This window comes from Homo sapiens, chromosome 6 (assembly GCF_000001405.40).
Source record: "Homo sapiens chromosome 6, GRCh38.p14 Primary Assembly".
In the NCBI taxonomy this organism is placed as follows: domain Eukaryota; kingdom Metazoa; phylum Chordata; class Mammalia; order Primates; family Hominidae; genus Homo; species Homo sapiens.
In genome coordinates this window covers 10,761,470-10,783,303 of record NC_000006.12, presented here as the reverse complement: position 1 = coordinate 10,783,303, position 21,834 = coordinate 10,761,470, and the positions used below count along the sequence as shown (strand labels likewise).

Below are 21,834 nucleotides of genomic sequence, written 5' to 3'. Positions count from 1 at the left end.
GGGAGTTTATCATGTGCCTGCAAATAGCATTTTCTCCTCTAAATCCAAATAAAAAGGAAATGTTTCAATTCAATTTAATCTAAAAGATAATCCATTTTTAAATCGTCCTGTATCTACACAGATACATCTTTAATCCAGTGAGGGAGAAGATGATCTTTTTCTTTTGTGTTTTTGTGGGCATGGTCATTTATAACTTTCTAAACACGAGTGGGCCACTGTTTAACTGAGGAAGATTTGCTTTTCACATCTAAGTCTCCTGAAGCAAGACACAGTCTCCATTTCCCAGAAGCTTGTTTGGGAAGATGGGGCATGGCAAACAAGAGAAAAGGTTGAGACAGGATTGCCAGCAAAAGATGGATCTGTAACACACTTCCCTGTGTACCTTTTAGGCAAACATAGAAATTTCAGTTCTAAGAATCCAGCTAGGGCTGGGCACAGTGGCTCACACCTGTAATCCCAGCACTTTGGGAGGCCGAGGTGGGCGGATCACCTGAGTTCAGGAGTTTGAGACCAGCCTGACCAACATGGTGAAACCCCGTCTCTACTAAAAATATAAAAATTAGCTGGACGTGGTGGTGGGCATCTGTAATCCCAGCTACTCGGGAGGCTGAGGCAGGAGAATTGCTTGACCCAGGAGGTGGAGGTTGCAGTGAGCCGAGATGGCACCGCTGCACTCCAGCATGGGCAACAGAGCAAGACTGTGTCAAAAAAAAAAAAAAAAAAAAATCCAGTTGGGACCCTCTCTTGCTGTTAGTAATTGGGGAAAAGAAAAAAAATGAAAGCAAGTAGAGGGTTTAGAGATGAATGGGAGAGAAAACAGAAGGCACGGTGGGTGTATAGGTTTAGCCACAGGTGTTGAATAAGTTGATATAAACTTACAGGGGGTGAATTGAGGCTTTAGGACTGCAGTCCTGTGCTGATTTGTAAGGAGGAAGACACGTATTTGTATTTGAGAGGTTGAAGAAATTGGCATGAAGCCATCAAGAACAGCAAAAACTTTATAACCCTGGGTATTTGGCGATCTAAATAGGTTAAATAGTTTTGGTGTGTGTCTGTGTGTGTGTGTGTGTGTGTGTGTGTGTGTGTGTGTGTGTGTGTGTGACAGAGTTTCACTCGTTGCCCAGGCTGGAGTGTAGTGGCACGATCTTGGCTCACTGCAACCTCATCCTCCTGGGTTGAAGCGATTCTCCTGCCTCAGCCTCCCAAGTAGCTGGAATTACAGGCGCTCACCACCACACCCGGCTAATTTTTGTATGTTTTAGTAGAGACGGGGTTTCACCATGTTGGCCAGGTTGGTCTTGAACTCCTGACCTCAGGTGATCCACCCACCTCGTTCCCAAAGTGGTGGGATTACAGGCGTGAACCACAACACCCAGCCCTATAATATTTTTTGTCGTTGTTGATGTAAGCACATTTTTAGGCTCTGTGGCACCAGAGTGAGACATGGGAAGTGGGCCTGAAAAAACCTGGGTCTTGTTTGTGTGTGTCTGGATAGAGAAACAGATGAAAAAATGTATACATATCTTATTGGTAGTATATGCCAAGTCAATTTACAAGTATCTTATTAAAATAGTTAATGAGGCCAGGTGCAGTGGCTCATGCCTGTAATCCCAGCACTTTGGGAGGCTGAGGCAGGCGGATCACTTGAAGTCAGGAGTTCGAGACTAGCCTGTCCAACATGGCAAAACCCTGTCTCTACTAAAAATACAGTAATTAGCCGGGCGTGGTGTTGGGTGCCTGTAATCCCAGCTACTCAGGAGGGTGAGGCAGGAGAATCACTTGAACCCAGGAGGCAGAGGTTGCAGTGAGCCAAGATTGTGACATTGCACTCCAGCCTGGGTGACAGAGTGAGACTCTGTCTCAAAAAAAAAAAAAAAAAAAATCTACTTTTGACCTTGAAGTCTGTATTTTCTTCCTCACGAGGTCAAATTTTCCTGACTATAGTTTCACCTACAGTTTGAAAACTGTTCTATTTGTGACATTATGCTTTGATTCTTGAAAGTGAGAGAAAATAAGTTATTCTAACATTTTTGTATAGGAAGTTGTCACATCATGACACTCACAGAATGAGAAATCTGCCCATATTTCTTGATAATCAGACTGTAAACATGGCAGGCCTCATTTTGGCTGCTTCATCTTAGATGGCTGTGAAGAGGAGCTTAGAAATGGAATGAAGCATTTCAGCAGTGCTCCGAGCAGGTTTGCGTGTAGAGGAGCAAGATCCCTTACAGAGGAGGAACTAGTAACACAGGAGGTGAAGGGGGATGAGTGAGGGACTGAAGAGCTTAGGAAGGTGGGAGAGGAGTTGGGATCAAGACCAGGGTTGGGGCACACTTTTGAAAGCAGCAGAAATCCTTGTTATTGTAATCTTTAGACACCTGTGTGTAAATTTTGGTGTTGAAATCATGAGAGAGAGAGAAAAAGAAAAAAGAAATTCTGAGAGAGTTTTAATCTGACTGCAAAAGCAAGGATGGAAGAAAGTTTTCAAAACATAGGTTCATGAGAGATAGTTTTCACTGTGTTTTTTGTTTTTTTGTTTGTTTAAATTGGTACATTTTGCCGGGTGCTGTCGCCTATAATCCCAGCACTTTGGGAGGCTAAGGCGGGTGGATCACGAGATCAAGAGATTGAGACCATCCTGGCCAACATGGTGAAATTCCGTCTCTACTAAAAATACAAAAATTAGCTGGGCGTGGTGGTGTGTGCCTGTAATCCCAGCTACTCAGGAGGCTGAGGCAGGAGAATGGCTTGAACCCGGGAGGTGGAGGCTGCAGTGAGCTGAGATCGCCCTACTGCACTCCAGCCTGGAAACAGAACAAGACTCTGTCTCAAAAAAAAAAAAAAAAAAAACCAGTACATTTCACTGACTGAAATATTGCAAATCAGTATCTTCTTACTTACAGAAGTGAGTAGTAGGAAACACTACTGCAAACTTTTGTCAAAGGATATTTATCCTTTGAGCCAAAGCACCCTGTTTTCATAGTTCTGCTTCCTAATGTGGTTTTCTGAGACCTGTTTGATCATTTCCTTTTTAACTAGAAATCTAACAAAGTCTGCAAATTACTTGGGATCAGAAGGATGGCTATAATTGAGATTTAAAAAGTAAACTCAATTACAAAGAATTGTTTGGAATGTAAACTTGAGCCTTACTGTCACCTATTGGCGGTCGTGGTTTTGAAGATGACCCCTCTGGAGCTGGATGAAATTTAAAACTAGAATCAGGCTCAGTTCAGTCACCTGGACAGACATTTATTGAGCACCTATTGTGAACCAGCAACTATGCAGAGGATAGAAACCTGAATAAGAAGCAATCTTTGGCCGGGTGCGGTGGCTCACGCCTGTAATCCCAGCACTTTGGGGAGGCCAAAGCCGGTGGATCACCTGAGGTCAGGAATTCGAGACCAGCCTGGCCAACATAATGAAACCCCGTCTCTACTAAAAATACAAAAAAATTAGCCAGGCATGGTGGCGGGTGCCTGTAATCCCAGCTACACAGGAGGCTGAGGCAGGAGAATCACTTGAATCCAGAAGGCAGATGTTGCAGTGAGCCAAGATAGTGCCATTGCACTCCAGCCTGGGCAACAAGAGTGAAACTGTCTCAAAAAATAAAAAAATTTAAAAAAAGAAACAATCCTTGACATTTATTTATGATCCATAGTTATTTTTGTAATTGAGTATCTTCAGGAATAAAAAATACTAATATCTTTTGGGGCCCCCTCTTTACCCTAAAGCCAAGTATAAAAGGTCTTATTAAGCATCGACTTTTAGGATTCTGGGAGCTCTAGAAATGTACCATATAATTGCAGGGCAGCATGACATTATACTACAAGGACTGGCGGATCTGTGACACTGGCCTTCAGGGAAAGAGACGCAAGAGTCATAGTTACTGACCTGCTACTACTAACCGGCTGTGTACTTGGAGCAAGATTCTGTTTTCTGTAACTTACGATGGGACTGCACCATCTGTCAGCTCACTCTGTAAGCCTTAGGTACTTTAATTATCACAAGATAGTTGCAAATACAGTATGCAATTGAAAGCTAATCTCTCAGCAGTGCCCTCTGGTCTCACCCCCTGCTCCTAGAGCCGGGACTCTGGGCATGAATCGATGCCACCACTGCTGGCCGGAGCAGCTCACTCCATAGCACTTCTTTTTTTTTTTTTTTTTTTTTTTTTTTGAGACGAAGTGTTGCTGTGTTGCCCAGGCTGGAGTGCAGTGGTACCACCTCAGCTCACTGCAACCTCCACCTCCTGGGTTCAGGTGATTCTCCTGCCTCAGACTCCCAAGTAGCTGGGACTACAGGCACACGCCACCATGCCCAGCTAATTTTTGTATTTTTAGTAGAGATGGGGTTTCACCATGTTGGCCAGGCTGATCACAAACTCCTGACCTCAAGTGATCCGCCCACCTCAGCCTCCCAAAGTGCTGGGATTACAGGCATGAGCCACCGCACCTGGCCTCCATAGCACTTATGAAACTGATCTGTGCATCCTTCTCTCTTCCCATTCATTATTCACCATCTTTCCTTCCACCCTGTTTATTCAACATCCTGTGTCATTTCTACATTAGCCTCTGCTTTTTCACTTTCTTAACACGGCACACAAAATCCTGTGTGGCCTGCCCCTCCTCCCCTCTCCAGCCTCATTTTATACCACCCCGTGTTCTTGCTGCAGCCTTACTGGCCATCTCTGAGTTCTTTCCCATCTCAGGTCCTCTGCCCAAACTGTTGCCTCTTCAAGGATCGCACCTCCCCACCCCTTAAAACACATTTATGCCTAGTGTTCCATTATTGGAACGCTAAGCATGTGGGAGTTGTATCCTACTGCTGAAGGTCATCGCCAAGGTCTGATTGCAAAATTTCAAAAAATTGCAACCTCAGGCATAAATGAGGGTTAATCATGATTCACATTTCAGCTTAAAATTGCTTATTTGAAAGAAAGACTGGCTGAGTTGCTTCTGTTATTTGCCCCCTCCACCCCAGATTCTTCTAAACATGATGCACCCTGCTCATTATGTATTTACTTAGTTATGACTAAAACTGTCTCCCTTCTCATTAGATTCTAAGAGCCAAAGAGTAGAAACTGGTCTATTTTGTTTAGCACTTTTTCTCCAATGCCACGCACTGCCTGGCACTGGTAGGTGCTCAGTAAATATTTGCTAACTGACTTTTTTATGTCCTTTGAGGCAAGTGATTATCATCATGTAATGACATCTATCATTATAATATCAAATTAATTTATGCTTCTTCCTAACAGTGTTTGGTTTGTAGGAGGTACCCAGTGAAAACTTATAAACAAATAAATAACAAAATTCTAGGATATATCTATTTCCAACAAAATTGGAATCTTTATCTTAAATAGACCTTGAGGCCAGGCGAGGTGGCTCATACCTGTAATCCCAGCACTTTGGGAGGCTGAGGCAGGCGGATCACCTGAGGTTGGGAGTCCGAGACTAGCCTGACCAACATGGAGAAACCCTGTCTCTACTAAAAATACAAAATTAGCCGGGCGTGATGGCGCATGCCTGTAATCCCAGCTACTCAGGAGGCTGAGGCAAGAGAATCACTTGAACCTGGGAGGTGGAGGTTTTGGTGAGCTGAGATCACGCCATTGCACTCCAGCCTGGGCAACAATAGCAAAAGTCTGTCTCAAAACAAAAGAAAACAAAACAAACCTTGAATTAAACTAGTTATCTTCAATAATTTACTTACCTTTTACTTTAAAATACTTAAAAAAAAAGCCTATTTAGGAATATTGCCAAGGCCAACTGGATTAACAACATCATTTAAATATTCAGAACTCATTCTTTGTTATGACAACTGTGTTCACACAGATTTTTAATGTTTTACCCCTACCTTGCACTTCCTTTTTGGGTAAATACATTTTTTTTTTTTTTTGTGACAGTCTTGCTCTGTAGACCAGGCTGGATGCAGTGGCACAGTCTCAGCTCATTGCAACTTCCACAACTTGGGTTCAAGTGATTCTCGTGCCTCAGCCTCCCAAGTAGCTGGAATTACAGGCAGGCACCACCACACCCAGCTAATTTTTTTTGTATTCTTTTAGTAGAGACAGGGTCTCACCATGTTGGCCAGGCTTGTCTCGAACTCCTGACCTCAGGTGATCCACCTCCCTCAGCCTCCCAAAGTGCTGGGATTACAGGCATGAGCCACTGTGCCTGGCCTAAAGATGTTTTAATATGAGTAATTGCCACCAAGTGCATCTTTATGGTTAGGTAGTTGCCTTTTTTTTTTTTCTTTTGAAATGGAGTCTCACTCTGTTGCCCAGGCTAGAGTGCAGTGGTGCGATCTCGGGCTCACCACAACCTCTGCCTCCCAGGTTCAAGCGATTCTCCTGTCTCATGCCTGGCTAATTTTTGTGTTTTTAGTAGAGATGGGGTTTCACTATGTTGGCCAAGCTGGTCTCAAACTCCTGACCTCGTGATCCGCCCGCCTCGGCCTCCCAAAGTGCTGGGATTACAGGCATGAGCCACCGCACCCAGCTGGTAGTTGCCTATAATAGTTCGATTTGTAGGTGTTTTATTAGGGAAGTTATATCCTATAAAGAAAGGGAAATTACTTGCCTGATGAAGTGTTTCCTTAGAGAACTGATAATGGGTAACTTTTGAGGTGCAGTATTTCTGGTTTCAAAATAAGGGATATTATTATATATCTCATACATATGAAACCTTTCTAAGGAATCCAGCTCGCGGAAAGCAAAAGCTCAACTGCCTGGAGACAGTTCTGACTTCCTAAATCAGTGGAGTCCTCAGTGATGATTTCTACACTAGATAAAGAAAACTCTCCGTGAATGACCAAAAGGCATAGACTGCTCAAGTTCACTCTAATTTAATTATCAGTGAAAAGAAAACAAGCTCAAGAAGTTTTCAGTCTCTTAAGAACAGGTTGAAACAACTCCCTTTGACCACTAGTATCACGGCCCAAGGCTGAATGGACATTTCACAGATTTCAGAAAATCATAAGTAATTTAAACTGTTCTTTTTCCAAGTACATTTGCAATGACTTCTTTCTGGCGCACAGGGGATAAACTGTTTCCATTTTACTGTATCTCATATACAAATAAGCGTTTCAGGTGGAGCTTCATACCTCCGAACTTCAAAGGTTTTCCTGAGTTCTTAGTCACGTGTCTGTTTTCCCTGCTACACCAAGGGTTGGGCCAAGAATATACGCTCAAAACAAGTGACATGAAAATGTCATGTTGGGTCGGGTGTGGTGGCTTACACCTGTAATCTCAGCACTTTGGGAGGCCAAGGTGAACGGATCACTTGAGGCCAGGAGTTTGAGACAGCCTGGCCAACATGGTGAAATCCCCTCTCTACTAAAAATACAAAAATTAGCCAAGCATGGTGGTGGGTGCCTGTAATCCCAGCTACTCGGGAGGCTGAGACACAAGAATCACTTGAACCTGGGAGGTGGAGGCTGCAGTGAGCCAAGATCACACCATGGCACTCCAGCCTGGACGACAGAGAGAGACCCTGTCTCAAAACAAAACAAAACAAAACAAAAAAAACGTCGTGTTGTTGAAGAAAAATTTTTGTGCCATCTCAATTTTTACAAGACCCTTAGCAAGAACATCAAGTGTTATTATTATATTGTAGAAAATATCTTCTGCCTATAAAGTACACTGTCAACATTCCAGGTGGTTGTGCTAAGGGCTTGGTATCATGTTAGGGTTCATCAGAAAGCAAGTATCTGCTACATTTTCACCTAGATTTATTTCCATTCTCCTGTCCAAGGTGTCTCTAGTCTTTGTTTGAATGTATTACATAAGTTTCCTTTAAGTTTATGATCTGCTCTAACCTTTGAAGTGGTTGTTTTGTTCTTCTCAGGTGTGAATCCCAAGAAGGTGTCCTTGATAGCCAGTGGAAAGGAAATAAACCCCCACACTTGGAGCAACCAGTTATTCCCCAAGTCACTGGGACCCGTTGGGGCAGAACTTGCTTTCAAAAGGAGCAATGCAGGTAACGCAAGAATACAAAATGTACATGTACGGGGTTTTCCTTTATAGAGGTCTACTTTTAAATATATTGCAGTGCTCTTCCAACCAAGATACATGTGCACTTGGGAGATACACAAAGGTTTTCCACTACACTCTGCCTATGGGTAGCCCTGCTCTGCTGGAGCAGTCATGGAGTTGTAACACTGCCTCTTCAATAAAACTGTTTGTAGCTGGATGAGCATGGTGGTTCACACCTGTAATCCCAGCACTTTGGGAGGCGGAGGTGGGCAGGTCCCTTGAGCCTAGGAGTTCGAGATCAACCTGGCCAACATGGTGGAACTGTGCCTCTATATTAAAAAGTACAATAATAAAAAAAAGGTTTTCCCACTAATTCTTGAGTACAGCTAGTTTTAAGGGAATTCTCGACCTCCATCTGAATCTTTCCTGAAATGGGTCTGCCCTAGCAAGGAGTTTCTATTCTGAAAAGAAGACTTCTCACTGGCTACCATGGTGTGTTTTCTTTTTCCCCAAAATGTAAAAATATCTGGGGTGCCAATGAAATGGAAATTCTGGTATGTTGATGTCACTGTTGAGAAAGTAAGTAACTTTGATTTGATGACTGAGGAACAGGTCCTTTTTAAAGTCAAGGAGTCTTAACAGTTCTCAGCATTTAGAAAATTGAAGGAGGACCTACTTGAATTGTTAGCTGACAGGTAATTTAAAAAGTTTTTTTAATTTTTTTTTATGAGATCAGTATATGAATTTTGGTCTGTAATTTTGAAGAGCGTTTGAAGAATAGAGTGGCAAAGCTATCACAAAACCGCTTTTGTTCCCAACTATCTATTTGTATTAGCAAGATTTCTTAATGCTTCTGTCTCCAAAAAGGAAGAAAAAAGAAAAGAGAGAGAAAATAGCCCTGATGCTGTGATTCCAGCAATAAATATTCATTTGTTGATACATGAACTACTTGAAAATAACCCCACCTTTCTCATTAAGAGATGTGTTTGCAAAAAACTTAATTTTCGTGTTTAGTAATCAAAATATATAATACTCAACTTTTTTGATTAATTATATACAATGAATCATTGTAATTATAACTTTGTACAGTATGTTAATATCCTTATGGTTACAAGAAATTAAAAAAAGTTTTAATTTACACATATTTTAGAGTGACCAATTTTAGACTTTTAAGCCTAAGATTACATTTGGATAAAATTTGGAAGCTGAGGTATAAATAAAGATATAATTTTAAGGGAAAAAAGAATTAATGTGAAATGTCCAAGCATCAAAAAGGAACTTGTTCATGTATTTTTATGTCAATATTGGAGGACATAAAATCACTAATAGTTTTGGCCAGGTGCAGTGGCCCACTCCTGTAATCCCAGCACTTTGGGAGGCCGAGGTGGGCGAATCACAAGGTCCGGAGTTCGAGACCCGCCTGACCAACATGGTGAAACCCTGTCTCTACTAAAAATACACACACACAAAAAAAAATCCAGGCATGGTGGCATGCGCCTATAAATCCAGCTGCTCAGGAGACTGAGACAGGAGAATCGCTTGAACCCAGGAAGTGGAGGTTGCAGTGAGCCGAGATCACACCACTGCACTCCAGCCTGGGCGACAGAGCGAGATTCTGTCTCAAAAAAAAAAAAAAAAAAATCACTAATAGTTTTATTTTTTAAATGCCTATAGTTACAATATGTCAGAAATAACATCCTTTGCAACTGTTAAACTTATGATTAAAAATTTTAAATATCAACTTAAAAGTGTGTGAAGAGGTACAGTTTGTTTTTTAATGTAGGTGATATTGGATCAAAAAACTTTGACAATTACCATTATAAGTGAGTAGTTTAGTGAGATATTCTGATGTGACATCAATATATTTGGGCTTTTTACAAGTTTTCCAGATTCTTTAAAAACTCAGTTTATCCATTTAATGTCGCTGCGGTGTCATACACTGCAGCACTGTAATTTACTTATTTTTTCTTCAGATAATTAAAATTAATATTCACTGAACCAACCAGTTACACAAATTCAATTAAATGACAGTAGAACAACTTTGAGTCTCAAGGGAATATACAGTTGGCATCAAATAAATGCTGTGACAACAATGGGGACATTTTTGCATTTTTAAGGGCTCTTTCTGGATCTTTTCATTAATCATCTAATCCATTTTTTCTCTGCTTTTCCTATAACATTCTCCTTACTATTATTCTTTCTTTCCATCTGTCTTCTCTTTAGAAGAAAGCATAATTAAACCAATCGAAAAACTATCATGCAATGAAACTTTTCCTGAAAAATTAGAGGACCCACAAGGTAATTTCTGGGCGTCAGATGAATGCAGTTTGTTCTTTGAATCTCTTGTCTGATTTTCTTCTCAACATTTGCCCCTAATCCTGACATAAAAGGCCGAGATGATCCGCTTTGAGAAGTCAGATCAGGACTAAGATAAAGAAAAGCATTCTGTCTCATCAAGAATATCTTCCTTCAGTAACTGAGATTTTAAGATGAATATGCTCTCAAAAAGCTCTGTGCTGGTCTTCTTAAATTAATTACGGAAATTTATAGAGGAAATCAAGCAAATAATTCTAATGAAAAGAATCAAAAGAGTATTTTCTAATTTTGCGATCTATATTCCTGGAATTTTTTTTTCAAAGTTCTGAAACTCATTTCTTAAGCATGAACAACCACTTTTTTAAAAAGGTTAGGCTGGGCGCGGTGGCTCACACCTGAAATCCCAGCACTTCAGGAGGCCGAGCCGGGCAGATCATGAGATCAAGAGATAGAGACCATCCTGGCCAACATGATGAAACCCGTGTCTCTACTAAAAATACAAAAATTAGCTGTGTGTGGTGGCATGCACCTGTAATCCCAGCTACTCAGGAGGCTGAGGCAGGAGAATCGCTTGAACCCGGGAGGCGGAGGTTGCAGTGAACCAAGATTGCGCCACTGCACTCCAGCCTGGCAACAGAGCAAGACTCCATCTCAAATAAATAAATAAAAATTAAAAAAAAAAAAAGGTTAACTGGGTTAATAGAGATGGTGGATTTCCTAGGGGTTCAGTGTTACTGGTTTCAACAGTGCTAACAACTGGCTGCAATCTGAAAATTCACAGCATACAAGGTACTTCAAATAATAAGCCAAAATAATTTAAGAAGACTTAATTTTCTGTTCATGTTTTTTCCCTAACAACTTCTTTCTCCAATAAGAAGCATCATAATGCATGAATCCTAGAGTCTGATATATCCCATTTTGTCACTCACCAGCTTTTGTGGTTTGGGACAAGTTGTTTAAGCCAGCTTTCCCGTCCATAAAACGGACGAAATTTCCTTAGGTATTCTTACATAACCCTACCTGGAATTTTAACACATGCTAAGCATTTAATAAGTGTTTGCTCTGCTGATGAGGATGAGAGCAAGAGACATGACTGAAGCTGCTAGTGAATGCAATCACTGCTTTGAATTTCCTTCCGAAAATTTTTCTGAAGTAAAGAACTGATTAGTGTTTCAGAATGAGTTTCTGAGATGGGAAAAAGGTTAAAGTAGGCAGCTGAACTTACACAAAATTCAGTAGGGTTAAACATGTATAGACTGAGAGCATGTGCTCACTGTATGTAACCCTTTAGGGGCTGATAACATAATATTGCGCTTTGACATTTGTTGCTTCAAGAGCAGACACCTGTTGAAGCCTGATATGCCGTGAGAGACAACGGACACAGAGCCCAGTGTCGAGACGTGTAAACAGATAACGCTATAGAGAAAACACTGTTTACTGAACAGTGCTTTGAAACCACGAGGGTGATCAGAGCCCCATTTCGCCTTCTAGAGATAAACCTGTCTCCCTTCCTGCAGAGCTAGCTCCTCCTATTGCTTCTGGTTGTCGTTTGTCTTCAGTCTGCTTCCTGCCAGTGCAGCAGCTCCTGCTAGATCTTGACATCCTAGTGGCCAGATCCCAGGGGCGGTGCTGGTCCTATCCGAGCTCTCTGCCTCATCTCCCATTCCTTTTTTCCACACTCAGTGTGTATTCTCTTGGATTTCCATACCCTGTTCCTCCTACCATCCACCTCTCTACCTGTTCTCTTCCTCCATGAGGTCCTTTTCTCTCCTGTCCCTTAATGCTGGTGTTCCTTGGGGGTCTACTCCAGGTCTCTGCACATTCGCAGTGCCTCTGAGCTGGCTCCTTCAGCCCACAACTCTGTAACCACCACACCCTGATCATCACCAATCTCCACGCCTGCCCACTTGCCCTCTGCCTGCCACAACATGAATGTCCTCTGGGTACCATGTCTTTCCCCCAATCCTGATTCTCCTCCTATGTTGCTATTCATGGACAACGCACCCCCCAGTCACCTGAGCTGCAAACTTAGGAGTTTATATTTCCCTCTTTCCCTACCACCTCCACCCCGTGAACCTGCTTAGTTCCCTTCTTCTTCACCCTCTGCCACTGCTGTGGTTCAGACCCTCATCCTCCCTCATTTCAGCTCTTAGCAGTGACTTCCTCACTGGTCTCCAGACTTTAGATTTTTCCTCATCAATGCATCCCTATGCTAACGCCAGATTGAGCATTCACCAATAGTGATGATGATGATGGTGTTGATAATGATGGCAATTATGCTAGCTGACGTTTAATGCGTACAGATTCTATGCCACGTGCTCTGAAGAGTCTCATCAATCCCTACAACAACCCTACGAGAATAGGTCCACTTACAACCATTTTACAGAATGAAGACAGACACAGAGAGCACTTCAGAGATAGGGGCTTCGCAGTGGGAAATACACCCCCATGTGAAGAAGTGGGGTCGTGAGAAAGCCTGGCGTGTTCAGGGTGAACTGAACACCCCTGGGCCTTGAGTTCAGACCCCAGCTCAGTCTCTTACTAACTGTGAGAAGTTAGGCAAGTTACTCAACATTGGAGAGCCACACGATATGGATACTAATATGATCTAAGCGGGCTGTTGTATGGATGGAATAAGAATATCTGTAACAAGTGCAGCTCAGTGCCTAAAACATAGTAGATGCTGAAAAATAGTATTTAGAAGTAATGGGGTAGTATTCAATGTTATTCTACTGTGCCTAAAATATTCACCTTCTGACTGTGAAACTTTATGATATGTCACTAGGAAATCTTGGAAGTTATGCTACTTACAATCAGTCAGGATATATTCCTTCCTTTCTCAAAAAAGAAGTGCAGTCAGCTGGCCAGAGGATCCACTTAGCACCTCTCAATGCAACGGCTTCAGGTAGGAACAACTTCAGATACAGTTTTCTAGATTCCTAGCAGAAAGGAACATTTTCCTTTTTAAGTTTATGCAGTCACTTTTCCCAAGCGAAGACTTTTAGTCAGCCTCACCTCATTAACGCATTTCTTTTTGTTTTTACCGAAATGTCCTATTTTTCTTCCAAAAATGAGGATTTGAGGGTCTAATAATTATAAGAGCTACCACTAATTAAGTGGTGACTCTCTGCCAGGCACAGTGTAAAGGGCTTACTGGAATTATATCATTTAATCCTCATGATAACCTGATGATGTAGCTAGATCTCTTCTTTACAGATGATGAAATGTAGGTGAAGTAACTTACCTGAGGTCACACAGCTAGTGGAGCTGGGATAGAAACCCAACTTAATCCACTTCCAAAGAGTGTGCTGTGCTGCACAGAGAGATGTGAGAAAATGCCTTTTCCAGAGCCCTCTGCCCAGGACCTGGCACAGGGTGAAAGCTTAATAAATGCTGACACTCTATTTATGAATGAGTTAACATGAGGTGTGTCTCTACAGTTCCATCTTAGGGCGTAGAAATTAGCGGTGGCAGGACTTTCACACCCTGCCTTTTGCTTTGCAATAGTATTCAGGGGGAAGGGTTTATCCCTCCACCCTCCAGCGTTATGCCTAACTGAGGTAAGCTTGCTCCCCAGTGGTGTGGCATGTGACAGCCACATGTGGGGGTACACACTTGAAATGGAGGGTGATGATTCTGTACTTAAGCCAATCAGATTTGACCATGAATGGTCTTCGAATCATTTGAATCTGAAATAGATATTCTTAGTGAAGCACCAAAAATAAACATTAAAGCCAATCATTAGAACTTTAATAAGATACCTAATTGTAGTTTAATTTATTTATTTTAATTCTTTTTTATAGAGAAAAAGCCTTGCTCTGTCACCCAGGCTGGAGTGCAGGGATGCAATCATGGTTCACTGCAGCCTCGAACTCCTGGGCTCAAGTGATCCTCCTGCCTCCGCCTTCTGAGTAGATGGGACTACAGGCACACACGACCGTGCCCAGCTAATTAAAAAAAATGTTTTTTGTAGGGACAGGGTCTTGCTATGTTGCCCAAGCTGGATCTTGACTCGTGGGCGCAAGCAATCCTCCCACCTTGGCCTCCCAAAACTCTGGGATTATAGGCATGAACCACTATGCCCGGCCTGTAGTTTAATTTAAAAGTTGACTCTGAAAGTGTGCTCACAGCCTATCCTAACCACTATCTTATATTAAAACCCCTGATTAGATGTGCCAGTCTTTAAAGTTCACACTATTGGAGCTAAAAATGTATAAAGCCTGGACTTCTTTATTTTTTTATTTCTTGCCGCAATAGAACTGCTTAAATAGTACTACAGTTACCTTATCTGTGAAAAGAATTGCTTCATTATCTTTTCGCTGAAACAAAATAAGTAAACATTTTATATACAGCAGTGATTTTTATAAGGCCTCAAATATTTAAGCCAGCCTTATGAGCCATTCATTTATATGAAATATAAAATTTTATTTATTTTGAGATGGAGTCTTGCTCTGTTGCCCAGGCTGGAGTGCAGTGGTGTGATCTCAGCTCACTGCAACCTCCACCTCCCGGGTTCAAACGATTCTCCTGCCTCAGCCTCCCAAGCAGCTGGGATTACAGGCATGCACCACCATGCCCAGCTAATTTTTTTTGTATTTTTAGTAGAGACGCAGTTTCACTGTGTTGGTCAGGCTGGTCTTGAACTCGTGACCTCAAATGATTCACCTGCCTCAGCCTCCCACAAGTGCTGGGATTACAGGCATGAACCACTGCACCCGGCCACATTTTATATTTTTAATATAAAGGCAGAAAATCATAATGTTTCAAATTATTTTGTTACCTAGGTATCTACTCTTATAAATCAAGAGTGGGTCTTTTAAAAAATATTTTTGTAAGATATTGAAGGCCTTTATATATTAATTATTCTATCCAATTAGCATGCATATTCCTGTTTTCATTTTTTTTAAGTAAATGCTTTTTCTTAACTTTTTATTTCTTTACTCTGCTTATCAGATTTTTCTACAGATGGTGATAGGAGGAAAGGTAAAAAATGAAGTAAATATTAATCACTCTCAAGTGGTCAATGCAAATCCTTAGAAAAAACACTGTTCTGTAAGAGATGTGTCTTCCAGTCATGCCAGTTGGGTGACAGTTTCCCACAAGAAAATAAAACCAGGTCATTACCATATTTACTCAACTATTTCCCCCTTCTTGCATAGTCTCGTCTTTGCTCTTCTTTCTCCCCTTCAAGATTTTTGTTTTTGTTTTTTTTTTTTTTTTTTTTTGAGACAAAGTCTCGCTCTGTCACCAGCCTGGAGTGCAGTGGCGTGATCTCAGCTCCCTGCTGCAACCTCTGCCACCCGGGTTCAAGCGATTCTCCTGCCTCAGCCTCCGGAGTAGCTGGGACTACAGGTGCGTGCCACCACGCCCAGCTAATTTATGTATTTTTAGTAGAGATGGGGCAGGATGATCTCGATCTCTTGACCTCGTGATCTGCCTGCCTCGACCTCTCAAAGTGCTGGGATTACAGGCATGAGCCACCGCACCTGGCCTCTACCCTTTAAGTTTTGAGAAGGAAAATCAATGTCTTCCCTCCCATGTAATCTCTCCTTCCCCTAATACTTCCTTATCCCCTGCCTTGAAACTAACAAGGACTTCGAGGAGTGACTTCTGTTCTACACAGCACCCTTTAGGATCACTTTAGAAGTGCAGGATCCTGTTTTAAGCACTCTGTGTACATTAACTCATTAATCCTCCCAGGGCTGTATTCCAGGAGGTACTATTATGATCCGCATCTCACACAAGTTTTATATGTTGCTAAAAGTTGTATCACAGTGGCATCAATTAAATCCATAACTAGAGGCAAACTTCTTTCCTTTAGCATAGATTTTCTACAAGAAGTTAAATGTCCTTGATAGGACAGATGCAGTTTTTAAACACAGAGCAAGCATTGCAAGGCTCACTATCCCTCCCGCTCTTGCAGGGCAGTGAGGTGTGGGGTGGTCCCACTAAGGCACAAAAGCACTTCTTGCCCTGCCACGAGATCTGGGCTCCTCTCAGCTGTTAGGTTCTTCACCAAAGGTACTTGAGTCCTGAAATTCTAGTATATCTAGGAAAGGAATCCTAAATCTCAACACTACCCCCTTCTTAGCAAAATGATTCCCTCTTGAAAAAGTTTTACAAAATATTGTCCTGGACACAATTTCATTTAAAACCATTTAGGACTTAGGTGATATCATGACCTGGAAAAAGGCTTCTCTTTTTGTTACTCCCCAAAGCTCTCACTTCTTGCCCTCAGAGCCACACCCATTAGCCTAATGCCACGTTCCCTTTTCCCTCCCTGAATAAGCGGGGCTTATTGCCTCTCTCCCCGCTCTCTACTCCCCTCCCACGCTGTCTCTTCTACCCCTGCTACCAGTTTGACCTGTGGCCCACATGGGTGAGCTCACTAATTTAGCAGACAGATGCTCGTTTCTATTCCAATGGCTATAACTAAAGGGCTCTTTCTGGAAAACATGGTGCCCTGACTGGCCCTTGTAGACACATTGTCCCTGACTTTGTTAGATAGCTTTTTAGTGGCTTTGACTTTGAGAATTTTAAGCCCAGTAAAAAGAGTGGAATGAAAGGACCTGTCAAACCATGGAGTGGGGAGCTCTTGGCCTCCCTGCCTCCACCAAACTACACGGCAGCCAGGCGGCTGTCTTACCCAGAGTGTCCACACTTAATACCTTGTTCACCCATGCTGAAGTTAGTAGCTTGTCAGGACCACATGCTCACAGAATTCCCTCCTCACTCCCAGTTATACAGTGAAAATTTAAGAAAAACTGTGCAAACCATGCCAGTAAATATGGGATAGCTAGGGCTAGGGGTACAAAATGGTCAGATTCATTTCAGTATTAACACTTAGAGTTTAATCCAAGAATGGCAGCTACTACACAGTGTGAAGAGATATTTAAACCCCAGATGGAAAAAGCAGACATCCCTCCTCAGATACAATACCTGTGATACCTTAGCTCTCAATTCGAGGTGAGGAAAGCGTGAAGGAGGGACTGAAGAAGGCATCAAAAGTTGTCTGTAAAATGATCTCCTGCTTTGTCCTTTGAAATGTTGAAGCAGTTTTAGCTCATAAATTGTTCAGATAACAAATGTTCAAGAAATTTTAAATTTTTCACAAATTTTTAAACAGTCAGATATATGAATGAAACAACCTTGTGGTTAAAAGTTTAGGATCCTACCATTTAAGGGAATTGTGTTCCCACCCATGATTTTCCCAATGAGAAATGAAGTATGGGCCGGGTGCGATGGCTCACACCTGTAATCCTAGCACTTTGGGAGGCTGAGGTGGGTGGATCATTGGCAAGGCTGAGGTGGGTGGATCACCTTAGGTCAGGAGTTCCAGACCAGCCTGGCCAACATGGCAAAACCCCATCTCTACTAAAAATACAAAAACTAGCTGGGCGTGGTGGTGCGCCCCTGTAATCCCAGCTGCTCAGAAGGCTGAGGCAAGAGAATCACTTGAACCCGGGAGGTGGAGGTTGCAGTGAGCCGAGATCGCACCATTGCACTCCAGCCTGGGCAACAAGGGCGAAACTCTGCCTCATTAAAAAAAAAAAAAAAAAAAAAAAAAAAAAAAAATCTTCATTCTAAAACCCACATTTTAATGTTTAAAAAGAAATCTATTATAGGACCCCATGTGTGTTCTTCCATGAAGCCACAGTTTTATAGATTCACAATTCCAAATACATTTTTCTGTAGTGATATTGTGTCAATATTATTTAGATGTAACCACAGTGTGATATTACAAAGTCACCAACACTGTGGGTGTTGCCCATTGAATTTGAGCCAATAAATTTTCTTGGTCTTCTTACCTGGCGTTGCCTATCTAAATGTAAAATATTAAAAATAGCAGCAGTGTCAGCACTATAAACCAGGAATAATATTGGCTCTTCAGCTACTGAAAATTCTTTTTTTTTTTTTTTGAGATGGAGTTTCACTCTTGTCGCCCAGGCTGGTGTGCAATGGTATGATCTCGGCTCACTGCAACCACTGCCTCCCGGGTTCAAGTGATTCTCTTGCCTCAGCCTCCTGAGTAGCTGGGATTACAGTCACCCGCCACCACGCTCAGCTGATTTTTTTTGTATTTTTAGTAGAGACAGGGTTTCACCATGTTGGCCAGGCTGGTCTCGAACTCCTGACCTCAGGTGATCCACTTGCTTCAGCCTCCCAAAGTGCTAGGACTACAGGCAGGAGCCACTGCGCCCGGCCAGCTACTGGAAATTCTAATGGATGTCAACATAATACTACACTAGAATTTTTGGTTTTAACATTTAAAAAGCCTCAGAGAGTACTGAGTTAATCTTTTAAACATAAATTCAGATTTTCCCCATCAAATGAGAGGATGAATTTCTTTATTTTGAGTTTGATAAGCAAATGAGTAAAACCCTGTTTTCCAAATCTGATTTCTTTCAGAATATACCTGGAACACAAAAACTGGTCGGGGGCAGTTTTCAGGACGTACTTATAATCCTACAGCAAAAAACCTAAATATTGTGAACCGTGCACAGCCCATTCCCTCAGTGCATGGGAGGACAGACTGGGTGGCCAAGTATGGAGGCCACCGGTAGGAGTCTATGGTGTGAAACCCTACAGCATTGCTCCGTAGAGTACGTGCAAGTTCCTTGACCCTGGGAAATGTCTACAAATGTCTATTTCTACTGAGTTCTGGAAGAAATATGCAAAAGTGGGTACTTGGAAGGGCAAAAATCATCCCCTATTTTACTTATTTCCAAGAAATGCATTTTCTTAGCATCATTGCCCACAGTGTTGATATATGGGTAGGATGTTACAAAGTATTGAATAAACTATTTGCCAAAGTATGAAGTATTTGATCTACAATTTAATAAATAGTAAATCCAATAAGAACCCTTAAAAAAAAACAACTTCCAGAAAATGTTTAGAGTGTTTTAGTTTTCATTTGTTGTATGTGCCCAAATGGTTTAGTAGTTCTTCACTTTGCTGTGGTTGGCTTAAGAGGTTTGTCTTTTGTTTTTGTACAGCAGTTGGGCCAACCTTTGCTGGCTGTCAGCTGTGGTTCTTATTTGACTAAGGCTCTGCGCTGCCATTTTGTCAATGACAGAAAGATTGCAATTATTTGTTTTTCTACTTTGAAGCTATGGGAGCGATGGTAATTTCAATCTTGAGCAGGATATCTTTTTTTTTTTTTTTGAGGCGATGTTTCACTCTTGTGTCCAGGCTGGAGTGCAGTGGCACTATCTTGGCTTACTGCAACCTCCACCTCCTGGGTTCAAGTGATTCTCCTGCCTCAGCCTCCCGAGTAGCTGGGATTAGAGGCGTGTGCCACCATGCCTGGCTAATTTTTGTAGTATTAGTAGAGACAGGGTTTCACCATGTTGGTCAGGCTCAGGCTGGTCTCAAACTCCTGACCTCAGGTGATCCACCTGCCTCGGCCTCCCAAAGTGCAGGGCTTACAGGTGTGAGCCACAGTGCCCAGCTTTTTTTTTTTTTTTTTAGAAATAAATTTATCTTTAACATAGAGAATATCAAAGTTATGCCACTTGATTTTAGTGGACGGCTTGTGTTTTGATCTTGACCAGTACAGTTCCCATGAATTCAAGGTGACAATCAAGCCCAATGGCTTGATGACTTCAATAGTAACCAAGTCAAGGTTCTCTTGGCTGGACATCATTAAGAAAGTTCTGGAAACTGTGTTTGTTTGATGCTGGTTCATTGGACTTTTCAAATTGTTTTGTTTCTGTGTCCCTACCAGACACAAAGATGAAGTGTGCCAGCTGGTTCCCCCAAGCCAGCTCATGCTGCTGACCACTGACTCAGCTCTGACCTTCACATTTGCTCTGAAGCAAGTGCGTTCAGCTGCTGGGGCAGTGATATCACATAGTACATATATTATTTCCTTAGTTTATTTCCAAACTGGTATTTTAAATAGACACTTCGAACTTTGGGCTACTCTGTTTAAATCTGCCACTTTCTGGACTGGACCTTAGTACTGTAAATTCTTTTTAAAGAATAATAATGTTACCAACTGCTGAGATTTTTATGTATTTTGTGACTTTGTAACAACTGCTATTGTAATAAGTGTCATCTTGTGGGCATTATACAAAGGCATATTATAAAATAATAATGATATTTTTGTATAGAAGAGTCAACTGTTCAGATGTAAGATGTTGAAAAATGTTAAAATCTAAAGAGTAATTTATCCTAGTGGTAATGGTTATATGTATTTGTACAGTTTAAATTAATGTCTCAAAGCTGTGCAGTCTTTTGTTACTGGGACACTTTTAAACTCTGAATAGGCATTAAAAAAAATATGGCTAACTAGTGTGTTTTCATTATGTTTTTAAACCTTATATCCTGAATTCTATTTGTTGTTGTTGTTTTAATTAGTAGTCTTTAAAAAAAGCAGTTTTAGGGCCAGGCACAGTGGCTCACACCTGTAATCCCAGAACTCTGGGAGTCATAGGTGGGTGGATCACTTGAGGTCAAGAGTTCAAGACCAGCCTGGCCAAGATGGCAAAACCCTGTCTCTACTAAAAATACACAAAAATTAGCTGGGCACGGTGGCGGGCACCTGTAATCCCAGCTACTTGGGCGGCTGAGGTAGGAGAATTGCTTGAACCTGGGAGGCAGAGGTTACAGTACAGTGAGATCGTGCCACTGCACTCCAGCCTGGGCGACAGAGCGAGACTCTGTCTCAAAAAAAAAAAAATAAAAGCCCTTTTAGGTTTATGAAAATATTGATCAGAAAGTAGAGTTCCCATATGCCCCTTCATCTGCCCCTCCCCGATTTTCCCTATTATCAACATCTTGCATTCATGTAGATAATTCATTACAACTGATAAGCCAGTATTGATACATTGTTATTAATTAAAGTCCATAGTTTATATTAGGGTTCACTCTTGTGTTGTACACTATGGGTTTTGACAAAATGTATAAGGACATGTATCCACCATAATAGTATCATAAGAATCATTTTACTCCCTCAAAATCCTGTCCTCTCCCTATTCATCCTTCCCTATCTTGCCCTGAACCTCTGGCCACCATTGACCTTGTTACTGTCTCCACAGTTTTTCTTTTTCCAGAATTACCTGGGGTCAGGAGTTCAAGACCAGCCTGGCCAACATGGTGAAACCCCATCTCCACTAATAATACAAAAACATTATGAGCCATGGTGGTGCATGTCTGTAATCCCAGCTACTTGGGAGGCTGAGACAGGAGAATCGCTTGAACCCGGGAGGTGGAGGTTGCAGTGAGCCAAGATTGTGCCATTGCACATCTAGCCAAAACAGATCTCAGAAAAAAAGTATGCACATGGTTTATTTGTGGAAAAAAAAAAAAAAAAAAAAAAAACGAGCATGGAAAATATGCTGAATTTGAGCATTTAATTTAGGAAGCTAGAAAAAGAATAACGTAAAAAAATGTTTTAAGTAGATTTCAGCCCAGTAGCAATAAGCATACCTAGCACTCAGATATTGGTGTCCAGATATTGGTGTGCAGTACCACTGTTCAATAAAAGGAACCAGAGCTACTTGGAGAAATGGCTGATTCTAGTACTAGGACAGGAAATATAC

The 21,834-nt window shown here is 41.7% G+C and overlaps 1 protein-coding gene across 14 annotated transcripts in view; it reads left to right on the top strand.

Moving 5' to 3' along the window:
* MAK (male germ cell associated kinase) overlaps positions 1-20,581 on the top strand; it is a 75,817-nt gene extending 55,236 nt beyond the window's left edge. For 4 of the 14 annotated variants that reach the window (NM_001242957.3, XM_011514619.3, XM_011514620.3 and 1 more), the window contains 4 exons: positions 7,845-7,976; positions 10,196-10,270; positions 13,074-13,193; positions 18,698-20,581. In NM_001242957.3, coding sequence (NP_001229886.1) covers positions 7,845-7,976; positions 10,196-10,270; positions 13,074-13,193; positions 18,698-18,852 — 482 coding nt within the window. In that variant the 3' untranslated portion in view covers positions 18,853-20,581. Of the gene's footprint in view, positions 1-3,806; positions 3,979-7,844; positions 7,977-10,195; positions 10,271-13,073; positions 13,194-15,241; positions 15,405-18,697 lie in introns of those variants that run through there. The other 10 variants (NM_001377262.1, XM_011514622.4, NM_001242385.2 and 7 more) reach the window with 7 other exon arrangements.